This window comes from Homo sapiens, chromosome 1 (genome assembly GCF_000001405.40).
Source record: "Homo sapiens chromosome 1, GRCh38.p14 Primary Assembly".
NCBI classification, from domain to species: Eukaryota; Metazoa; Chordata; class Mammalia; order Primates; family Hominidae; genus Homo; species Homo sapiens.
Genome location: NC_000001.11, coordinates 28130479 through 28142736, shown reverse-complemented (window position 1 = coordinate 28142736; position 12258 = coordinate 28130479). Strand labels below are relative to the sequence as shown.

The 12258-nt window shown below is 45.4% G+C and overlaps 1 annotated feature.

Moving 5' to 3' along the window:
- Positions 7790-7839: an enhancer, noted in NCBI's record as "active region_584". NCBI's record gives its function as "activates an Ori minimal core promoter by ATAC-STARR-seq in GM12878 lymphoblastoid cells {active_cell/tissue: GM12878}" and the evidence as "EXISTENCE:reporter gene assay evidence [ECO:0000049][PMID:35858748]".

Below are 12258 nucleotides of genomic sequence, written 5' to 3'. Positions count from 1 at the left end.
AAAATAAATTAAAAAAAATGAAAACCAAATCCCCACCCCCAAAATACAGATGCTTAGAGAGTAAAGTGATTCCCAAGGTCACACAGCGAATGGCTGGCCTAGCTGGGTATGTCCAGCTCCAAAGCTCATTCTGCCACACTCCCTTCCCCTGTGGACATCTTTCATGATACAGAATGTGAAGGTCCCTATCTTCCATCTTCCAGACAAGAAAGACGAGCATCAAGCAGGTGAAATGACTTACATCCAAGGTCACGCAGCAATAATCAGGATGCAGAGATCCTTATTTTACCTCTACTGTGCAAGATGCTTCTCATACATTTTTGTCTGAATGCATGTCATTTTCCTTCTTTTTTTTCTTTATCTTTTTCTTTTTTTTTGAGACGGATTTTTGCTCTTATTGCCCAGGCTGGAGTACAATGGAGCAAACTTGGCTCACTGCAACCTCCACCACCCGGGTTCAAGCAATTCTCCTGCCTCAGACTCCCGAGTAACTGGGATTACAGGCATGCACCACCACGCCCAGCTAATTTTGTATTTTTATTAGAGATGGGGTTTCTCCATGTTGGTCAGGCTGGTCTCAAACCCCCGACCTGAGGTGATCCGCCCGCCTCGGCCTCCCAAAATGCTGGGATTACAGGCGTGAGCCACTGTGCCTGGCTAACATGTCATTTTCTTTTATCATCATTTTCCATTCTCATCCTCCACAGCAGTTCTAGTGCAGGCGATATATATCCTTGATGTAGGTATGCTTGTAAAACGTATAGTGTTATTCTGTGTGTGTATCCATTTTAAATTTACATAAAAGTTATAGTTCACATAATTTGACCTTATTCTGTGTCTCATTTCCCCTGCCTCAGCATTATTTTTGCAATGGAATCATGTTGGAGTGTGTACATCTAGTTCAACAATGTCAGTGTCTGCTGGGTCCTCCACTGTGTACATCCACTACATTCTACCCATTCCCTTGGTGATGGACACTCAGGTTGCCTTCTGTTCCCTTTACTTTTCTTTCTTTTTTTGGGTGGGGGATGGTGGGGGATAGAGTCTCTCTCTGGCCCCTAGCCTGGAGTGCAGTGATGTGATCTTGGCTCACTGCAACCTCTGCCTCCCAGATTCAAGCTATTCTCCTGTCTCAGGCTCCCGAGTAGCTGGGATTACAGGTGCCCGCCACTGTACTGGGCTAATTTTTGGATGTTTAGAAGAGACAGGGTTTCATCACGTTGGCCAGGCTGGTCTTGAACTCCTGACCTCAAGAGATCTGCCCGCCTCGGCCTCCCAAAGTGCTGGGATTACAGGTGTGAGCCACTGCACCAAGCCCCGTTCCCTTTTCTATAACCAATGCTGTGAGATTCTTCCAGGTGTTCCCTATGGACAAATATAAGAATTTTTCTAGAATGTAGACCTGGGAGTGACATTCCCAGGTCGTAGGCTACACTTATTTAATTTGGTAAAGAATTGTCAAATTGCTTCTGGAATGGCTGCACCAGTCTACATTCCCACCCCTAGTTACACAAATGTGTTTATTTCTGTGCATTCCTACCAACACTTGGCACTGTCCAACTTTAAAATTGCAGGTAGGTGTAAAATAAAAATCTTGTTTTTAGTTTGGATTTCTCTAGCATTACTTTTTTTTTTTTTTTTTTTGAGGCAGGTTCTTACTCTGTCACCCAGGCTGAAGTGCAGTGGCATGAACATGGCTTACTGCAGCCTTGAATTCCGGGGCTCAAGTGATCCTCCTGCCCCAGCTACCCCAGTAGCTGGGACTGCAGGCACACCACCATAACTGGCTCACTTTAAATTATTTATTTATTTATTTATTTATTTAGAAGGAGTTTCACTCTGTTGCCCAGGCTGGAGTGCAGTGGTGCAATCTTGGTTCACCACGACCTCTGTCTCCGGATTCAAGGAATTCTTCTGCCTCAGCCTCCCCAGTAGCTGGGATTACAGGCGCGTGACATCATACCCAGTTAATTTTTGTATTTTTAGTAGAGACAGGGGTTTCACCATGTTGTCCAGGCTGGTCTCGAACTCCTGACCTCAAGTGATCTGCCTGCCTCAGCCTCCCAAAGTGCTGGGATTATAGATGTGAGCCACCGCGCCTGGCCAATTTTTTCTTTGTTTGCCAGGCTGACTTCGAACTCCTGAGCTCAAGCAATCCTCCCTCCATGGCCTTCCAAGTTGGTGGCATTACAGGGGTGAGCCACTGAGCCCAGCAATCTCACATTATTAATGGTTTGTAATCATGTACTCATTAGACATCTGAGTTTAAATTCAGACAATTCTGACTCCAAAGTCCATACGGTGTCACAGAATGATCAATAAAGTGGTCTCTGGGGCCACATTGCCAGGGTTCAATTTCTGTCTCTGCCACTTCCTAGTCTGTGATTTTTAGGTAGACTTAACCTCTCTGTGCCATTTTCCTCATCTGTAAAATGGGAATAATTATACTGACGATATAATAGGATGGTTTTGAGGATTTAGAATTGGTTAGAACAGTGCTTCCCATGAAATGAACTTAGTAAATATTATGTCCTGGCTGGGCACGGTGGCTCATGCCTGTAATCCCAGCACATTGGGAAGCCAAGGCGGGAGGATTGCTTAACCCCAGGAGTTTGAGACCAGCCTGGGCAACAGAGTGAGACTCTGTCTCAAAAAAAAAGTGTTATGTCCTGACCTGATGGAGTGTGTCTTTCTCCACACATAACCTCCCATTTCCTCCTTCCTTCCTTCCTTCCTCTTTCTTTTTTTTTTTTTTTTGACGGAGTCTTGCTCTGTCGCCAGGCTGGAGAATAGTGGCGTGGTCTCAGCTCACTGCAACTTCTGCCTCCCGGGTTCAAGCGATTCTCCTGCTTCAGCCTCCCGAGTAGCTGGGACTACAGGCACACGCCACCACGCACAGCTAATTTTTGTATTTTTAGTAGAGACGGAGCTTCACCATGTTGACCAGGATGGTCTCAATCTCTTGACCTCATGATCTGCCCGCCTCGGCCTCCCAAAGTGCTGAGATTACAGGTGTGAGCCATCGCGCCTGGCCCATAACCTCTCTTTTCACTCCAGCCCATAATCCCATTCCCCTGCCCCTTTTCACCAAGTTCATGTTCTGTAACCCTGCATTTTCTTTAGAAACCTGAAACCATAGCAGAGAGGAACACAGTGGGACTAGTCAGGCTTTCCCCTTGTATTTGACTTCCCAGACCATTCTAAAACACGCTGAGTGTTTCTTAAGAAGCCAGAATTGCCACATGCATGAGTCAGGGAATTTTGGCCTTTGGAACAAAAAGGATGAGTTAGTTCCTCAAAAAGGAGGATGAGGCATCAAAGGACACCATCAACAGAGTGAAAATGCAACCCACAGAATGAAAGAAAATGTTTGCAAGTCATATATCTAATACAAGATTGATACCTAGAATATATAACTCCACAATGAAAACCAAACAACTTGATTTAAAAATGGGCCAAGTACTTGAATGTACATTTCTCCAGAGAAGACCTACAAATGACCAGTGAGCACTTGAAAAGATGCTCAATATGACTAATCTGTAGAGAAAAGCAAATCAAAATCACTATGAGATAAAAACAGAAAACAAGTGTTGGCAAGGATGTTTAAAAATTGGAAACTGTGGGCAAGGCACAGTGGCTCACGCCTGTAAGCCCAGCACTTTGCGAGGCTGAGGCGGGCAGATTACGAGGTCAGGAGATCGAGACCATCCTGGCTAACATGGTGAAACCCCATCTCTACTAAAAATGCAAAAAAATTAGCTGGGTGTGGTGGCAGGTGCCTGTAGTCAGTCCCAGCTACTCAGGAGGCTGAGGCAGGGGAATTGCTTGAATCCGGGAGGTGGAGGTTGCCGTGAGCCAAGATTGCACCACTGCACTCCAGCCTGGGCAACAGAGCGAGACCCGATCTCAAAAAAAAAAAAAGAAAGAATCACCGTTTAATCTAGTAATTCCTTCTTCTTCTTCTTTTTTTTTTTTTTTTGACGAGAGTCTCACTCTGTCACCCAAGCTGGAGTACAGAGGCACCATCACGGTTCACTGCAGCCTCAAAGTTCTGGGCTCAAGGGATCCTCCCACCTCAGCCTCCCCAGTAGCTGGGACTACAGGTGTGTGCCGCCACACCCAGTTAATTTGATCTAGTGATTCACTTCTGAGTACAAACCCCAAAGTATTGAAAACAGGGACTCAAGCAGATATTCGTAGTAACATTATTCACAATACCCAAAAGGTGGGAGTGACGCAAATGTCCACTGAGGAATGAATGAACAAAATATGGTATAGACACGCAATTAAACATTATTCAGGCCATGAGTGGTGGCTCATGACTCAATCCCAGCACTTTGGGAGGCCAAGGCAGGAGGATCGTTTGAGACTAGGAGTCTGAGATCAGCCTGGGCAAAATAGAAAGACCTCATCTCTACTTAAAAAAAAAAAATTAGCTGGGTAAAGTGGCATGCACCTGTAGTCCCAGTTACTCAAGGAGGCTGAGGCAGGAGGATCACTTGAGCTCAGGAGATCAAGGCTGCAGTGAGCTGTGGTTGTGCCACTGCACTCCAGCCTGGGTGACAGAGCAAGACCCTGTCTCAAAAAAAAAAAAAAAAAATTGGTGGGAGCTGTGCCTCACGCCTGTAATCCCACCATCTTGGAAGGCCAAGGTAGGTGGATCACTTGAGGCCAGGAGTTTGAGACCAGCCTGGCCAGCATGGAGATACCCCATCTCTACTAAAAATACAAAAAAAAAAATTAGCTGGGCATGTTGATGTGTAACTGTAATCCCAGCTACTCAGGAGGCTGAGGCAGGACAATTGCTTGAATCCAGGAGGCAGAGGTTGCAATGAGCCAAGATCACGCCACTGCATTTCAGCCTGGGTGACAGAGCACCACTCTGACAACAACAACAAAAAATTAATCCGTTTTAAAAAGGAAAGAAATTCTGACATTTGCTACAAAGATGGAAGGACCTTGAAGACATTATGTTAAATAATATAAGCCAGATACAAAGGACAAATATTGTATGATTCCACTTATATACAGTACCCAGAGTAGTCAAATTTGTAGAGACAGAAAGTAGAACAATGATTGCCATGGAGAGAACGGGAAATGGAGAGTTAGTGTTTAATGGGTACAAAGTTTCAATTTGGAAAGGTCAAAGTTCTGGAAATGCATGGTGGTGATGGTTGCACAGCAATACGAATATTCTTAATGTGCTGAGCTGTATACTTAATGGTTAAAATGGTACATTATATGTTACCACAATTAAAAAAAAACTTACACAAAGGGAAGAGGGGATTGAAACTGCCTGTGCAAAATTATGACTGAGACAGTGAGAGATCTAACCTCACCGACTCCATCTTGCTTCTAATCTTTAAGCTGTCCTTGTTCCTTCCTGGGCACAGGCTGAACTAACTTTGGGAGGAACTTAGTTTATAGTTTAAAACAAAGACAATAACAGCCCTTTCCCAAAACAAACCTCCTTCTTGCCTGAAGACTAGACTGCCTTTGTAGGACTAACAAATTAGCCACAAGATTAGAAATTATGGTTTACGAGTCATGCAGCTGGAGGCTACAAGATTTTGACCTCCCCTAAACTGTTCCTAAGATCAGTGCTTAAGATATTTTGCAGACCCTGCACTTTATGGATCAGCTGGCACCATCCAGATCTATAAACTGGCTCATCTGATCTGTGGCCCCCCCGCCAGGAACTGACTCAGCCCAAGAGGACAGCTTCACCTTCCCATGATTTCATCACTGACCTGACCAATCAGCACTCTCATCTCACTGGCCTTCCCCAGCTCACCAAATTATCCTTAAAATCTCTGATCCCCACATGCTCGGGGAGACTGATTTGAGTAATAATAAAACTCTGGGCCAGGTGCGGTGGCTCACGCCTATAATCCCAGCACTTTGGGAGGCCAAGGCAGGAGGATCACGAGGTCAGGAGATCGAGATCATCCTGAATCTCAGGCCTGACACTTGCTGGCTATGTGATCCTGGGCATTTGCCTCAGTTTCCTTATATGTAAAATGGGTATAATGTCAATTCCCTTCTCTTCACTCTTCTAAGATGTGGATAATTTAACACTTGGGATGGGTCATTGATTGTTCTTGAATTACAGAGAGCTTGTCTCTCCTTAGGTAACTGCTGATGTCCCTCCCTTATCAGCCCAGTGGGCACAAATGTTGCCCCAGGCTACAGGTTGGCCGGAGAGGGCAGCATTCCAGAAGTAACTTCACATACATTCATGTATTCTGTGGGCACTGGGGAGAGAGAGAGGAGCACTAGAAAGGAAAGAGAAGACGACAGCTCTCCATAGTCAATTTGCTTACACTTGATCTTATGTGTGGCCTGTTAATGGCTCCTAACATTAGGGATGTTTCACAATAAATGACCTTTAACTACAGCAGCAGCCAAAAGAAGCTCAGGAGGGCAAGAGGGGCAATGGGGAAGACCATGGACCTTGGAGTTAGAGCTGGATTTGTCTCCTAGTTCTGACGTCACTAGTTGTTTGGCCTTAGGTAACTGATTGTCTATCTCTGAACCTCAGTTTCCCCAGTTGTAAAAATGAAGATAATGGCAACTACTGCACGAATATGTTAGGAGGCTCTGGGGAGGTAATAGACTCAAACTCCTGGCCTCAAATGATCCTCCTGCCTCAGCCTCCTGGGTAGCTGAGATTTACAGGCACAAACCACCGCCCAACTTGGGAAGGTAATGGAGAGGAAATCATTTTATAATCTGTTAAGAATTATTATACATACTGTTGAACATGAGCAATTAGCTGCAGCAAGAAGGCGTGTTGCCTAATATCTATTGTCTCCCTGTTCCTAAGTAGAAGAACCCTGTTTTTAATCTAGGTGCTGGCAATGCACCTAGCCGAAAGATTACATTCCTTATAGCTAGGTGTAGCCCTGTGACTAAGTTATGGTCAATGAGCTGTAAGTTGTAGGGGAGGAAAAAGAACTTCCTCTTTTACCCTTCATAGTTCTTAACTAGGACACAACCTGGTAACAGAAGACGAGAAAAATAAACAGAAGTCTATTAACATGCATACCTCATGTTCACAAGAGAGCTACCCAGGGGTTGAGTAAGTCGCAAAGAGGTGGCTTTGAATTCAGGCTTATGGAGAATTTTCAACAAAGAACAGTAAAGTTTTGGAAAAGTGACAAGGCAAAGGAAAAGGACTTTTTTTTTTTGAGACGGAGTTTCGCTCTTGTTGACCAGGCTGGAGTGCAGTGGCGCAATCCTGGTTCACTGCAACCTACGCCTCCCGAGTTCAAGTGATTCTCCTGCCTCAGCTTCCCGAGTAGCTGGGATTACAGGCACCCACAACCACGCCTGGCTAATTTTTTGTATTTCTAGTAGAGACGAGGTTTCACCATGTTGGCCAGGCTGCTCTCGAACTCCTGACCTCAGGTGATCCACCTACCTCGGCCTCCCAAAGTGCTGGGATTACAGGTGTGAGCCACCGTGCCTGGCCAGAAAAGGACTTTTGAGTCCCCTGGGGAAGCAAATTTGGGGAAGGCAAATAAATAGTAGGTAAAGGCTAGTTAGTAAAGTTTGTCACATAGATTCCTTTGGTGTCTTCTTCCAGCAAATGAGGGTCTAAAGTTGTCTTCAGAGATCAACCTCTGTTTCTCGTGGTTGGGAGGGGAGGAAGGACACCTTTGCCTTTGTAAACTTATGTCTTGCTTTTAGGCTAATGGGGGAGGGTAGAGACCTTTTGTTGTATCTGCTTCTTCTCAATTGCCTTCAGCTCAGAATAGTCCTTATGCAAAAGAGGCATATTTGGAGGTGGGGAGGTAGAATATTCTGGTCTCCTAAAAGTGAAAGAGTTGATAGGTCATCTGGAAATAGTGCTTCAAAGAAGCTTACTCAGCTATAATCCCCTTCTGCTCTTCCCTCCTTTTTTTTTCCTTGCCTGGAATTTGGTGCTCCTGCAGCCATCTTATGCCTTGAAGTGACTTTGAAGGTGAAAGCTATGGGCCACAATAGTAGAACAGTGATAGAAGGAACCTGGGCCCATGATAATGGCGGGGTACAATTCCTGGACAAGGATCAGCTGCTAAGTATAATAGCAGGCCTGGGACTTGAATTAGGGTCTACATGGTGGAGTAGCAGTTAGGATACTTGGTTGCAAGCAACAGACATCGCCTCTGCCTATTTTTAGCAAAATAGAATTTATTGGAAGGATGTGGGTGGGGCTCAAATAAGTTGTAGGTAGCTGGAGAAGCAAGCTTGGGGATACACAGGAACCAAAGGAGAGTTGGAAGGCCTAGGATCAGGTTGCAGGCACATTTTCACCTGAGTGCTGCCACTACCACCATGATGAATGATTTCCAACAAGATCTCCTATCCTGCCCGCACTGTTTCAAAATTCAGATTCTCAGGAGAGGGTGTCTGATGGAATCAACTCTGGCCCTGTCCTCCATGGATTATTTAATGAAATGGGTCATCTGGAGTTACTTTTCAATCAAGGCTACAAAGGAAATTAACACATTATTGGGATAGAGGAGGTTATTTCAGTTATCTATTTCCACAACAGTGATAAATAGCAAATAATCACATGCTTCGGAAGCATTTAAACATTCATCGTTCATCACAGATCACTCATACATCTGGTGATCAGCTAGACAGCTCTGCTGTTCTGCTTTGGACATGCTACACATCTGGAGGTTGGCTGGCTGTTGATTGATTTAGTCTGACCTTGGCTGGGAAGACTAGGGCATCTGGGTCTGTTCCTTCAGTAGGAAAGTCTGGCATGTTCTCATGGGTGATGGCAGGGGTGTGAGAAGGGTTGTATGGCAGACACACCTGACAGTCATAATATAAGCATACCCTATGAATTACCCTATGATCCAAGAGGGATCTGGGAGTGGCCAAGCCAGAGATTCACTCCTTATCTATGAAGGACATTGAAACCCCTGGCCCATCCCTTGGAACACAGACTGTGCGGGGGATGGAGGCCCTTTGTTTTGGGTTAAATGGAGGTTGCTAGTTTAACTGCCCAGTGGTTTCTTCTTGCCCACTGCCCAGATAGAGCTGATTTATCGAGATAGGGGAATTGCAATAGAGGAAGAGTCTCACACATGTAGAACTGGCTAAACAGGACACCAGCGTTTTATCATTACTCAAAGCAGTATCCTTGAAAAATTGGAGGCTAAGGTTTTTCAAAGATAACCTTTGGCAGGGAGGTGGGTGGCTAGGGAATGGGTGCTGCTGATTGGCTGGGATGCAATTATAGAGGTGTGGAAAATGGTCCTAGCATGCTGAGTCTGCTTATGGGTGGGGGCCAAAATCCAGTCGGTGGGTCCAGTGGGGCCATCGGGTCATCAGGAATGCAAAAGCCGGCTGGGTGCAGTGGCTCATGCCTGTAATCCCAGCACTTTGGGAGGTCAAGGTGGGAGGATAGCTTGGGTTCAGAAGTTCAAGACATACCTGGGCAACATAGTGAGACCCTATCTTTACTAAAAATAAAAAAAAATTAGCGGAGTGTGGTGGTGCATGCCTATAGTCCCAGCTGGGGAGGCTAAGGCAGAAGGATCCTTTGAGCCCAGGAGGTTGAGGCTATTGTGAACTATGATCATGCCACTGCACTCCAGCCTGGATAACAGAGCAAGACCCTGTTTCAACAACAACAACAAAAAAAAAAAAAAAAAAAGAGAGAGAGAGAGAGAGAAAAGAAATGCAAAGGCCTGAAAAGACAACTCAAAGCCAATCTTAGGTTCTACAATAATGATGTTATCTGCAGGAGTAATTGAGGAAGTTGCAAATCTTGTGACCTCTGGAGTAATGGCTGGTAATCATTTATGCCTACATCTTAGCCGAATTCAGGCTTCTCTTATCCTCCTAACCTGGTGGTCTTTCATTAGTTTTACCAAGGTGATTTCGTTTGGGAGAAGGGCTATTATCATTTAAGCTATAAACTAAATTTCTCCCAAAGTTAGCTTGGCCCAAGTCCAGGAATGACCAAGGGCAGATTGGAGGTTAAAGGCAAGATAGGGAGGTTGGTTAGATCAGATCGCTTTCACTGTTATAATTTTTGCAAAGACGGTTTCACTAGGTGGAGGCTGCTAAGTAAAAACGCTATATGAACTGCATGCCTTTTTTTTTTTTTTTTGAAACAGGGTCTTGCTTGCTCTATCGCCCAGACTGGAGTGCAGTGGTGCGATGGCAGCTCACTGCAGTCTTGACCTCCCAGGCTCAAACAATCCTCCTGAGACAAGAATAATACACGGTGGTCACAGGAGAATAGAAAACTCCAGGCAGCAGTTTCACATGACTAGCAAAATGAAACCGTTGAAATAGCTGCAGAAGCTAGGGGATAAGACCCTGAAAAACCAGGGTGTGGGCCAAGCTGGCTGAGACCAACTGGACCCAACGTGAAACTGGATTTGACCTAGGTTTCTCCCAGGACCTCATTATATGCTTATTAACATACAAATTACACACCCACCAGCGCTGTGACAGTTCTGAGAACACCCATATTAGGTGTAAAAATGAGTGGCACCACAGTTCCAAGAAATCTTCACCTTTTTCCAGGAATCTTAATGAATATTCAACCTCTTGGTTAAAGAAACCCATAAAGGTAGAAACCTCAAACTCTACTGTGTGGCACTTTCTCTTGAGTCCACCCTTACTCCCCTCTCCTGGGTGTGTACTTTTCACTTTACAATAAATCGCCCTACTTTCACTGTTTTTTTAAGATAGGGTCTCCCTCTGTTGCCCAGGCTGGAGGGCAGTGGGGTTATCTTGGCTCACTGCAATTTCCACCTTCTGTGTTCAAGCAATTCTCCCACCTCAGCCTCCTGAGTAGCTGGGACCATAGGTGTGCACTACCACACCCAACTAATTTTTGTATTTTTAGTAGAGACAGGGTTTCACCATCTGGCCCAGGCTGGTCTTGAACTCCTGGCCTCGAGTGATCCGCCTGCCTCAGCCTCCCAAAGTGCTGGGATTACAGGCATGAGCCACCACGTCCAGCCTACTTTCACTGTTTTTTGATTCATCCTTTAATTCCTTCTTGTGATGGGGTCAAGAACCTGGACACTGGCCGGGGTTGAGGTCCCACTGACATTTGGGGACCTCCCTTAGCCCACGGGTATCACCCCTGGCTAAGCCTCCCAAGTATCTAGGATTACAGGTATGCACCACCATGCTCAGCCAATTTTTTTTTTTTTTTTTTTTTTTTTTGAGACGGAGTCTCGCTCTGTCACCCAGGCTGGAGTGCAGTGGCGTGATTTCGGCTCACTGCAACCTCTGCCTCCCGGGTTCACGCCATTCTCCTGCCTCAGCCTCCCGAGTAGCTAGGACTACAGGCGCCCACCACCACGCCCGGCTAATTTTTGGTATTTTTAGTAGAGTCAGGGTTTCACCGTGTTAGCCAGGATGGTCTCGATCTGACTTCATGATCCGCCTGCCTCGGCCTCCCGAAGTGCTGGGATTACAGGCATGAGCCACCACGCAGGGCTCAGCTAATTTTTTTTTAAACTTTATTATATGTAGAGACTGGGTCTCATTTTGTTTCTCAGGTTGATCTTGAACTCCTGCGCTGAAATGATTCTCCCACCTCAGCCTTCTAAAGTGTTGGGATTACAGGCACGAGCCACTGCAAGTCACATGACTAAGCCCAGAATCAGAGCACCGCGAAGTTTTGTGACAAAGGGTGTGGATACAGAGAAAGGTGAAGAATCGGTGCCACTTGTGCAATCTACAAGGGAATAGTTCATGCCAATAAAAGGAGCCAATGTCTACAACAGACATCAAAACCCAAGTTCTCTCCATGTTTCACACCACCTGGGACCCAGCTGAAGGAGCAGTTCTTGAGGAGAGGCCTCTGTCCTCACTCAAGGGATTCAGTAGAATGTCAGCTCCACGAGAGCTGGCGCCTTCATTCTCTGTTGTCGTTTTTTGTTTTTTACCTTGCCTTTATTTCAGACAAGATTTTATCTGTTTATGTAACCTCAGTGCCTAGAACAGTGCCTGATACATAACAGGTGCTTAAAGAACACTGGTTAAATGAAAATTAACTTGTGAACTTACCTTAGGCATCTAACCAAGGTATCTCCCTTTTTGTGGGGAGGCTGGGTGGTATGGAGAAAAGGACCTAGATTTGGAGGAAAAAAACAAAATGAGTTAGAATCTGGGCTTCATTAACTCTGGGTGATCTTGAGCAAATTGTTCAACTCCCTGAGCCTCAGTTTCCTACAGTGGAAACCTTTTGCGGTGACTTTTCAGTGCATCCTCCCCATCTTTCTGGTAATC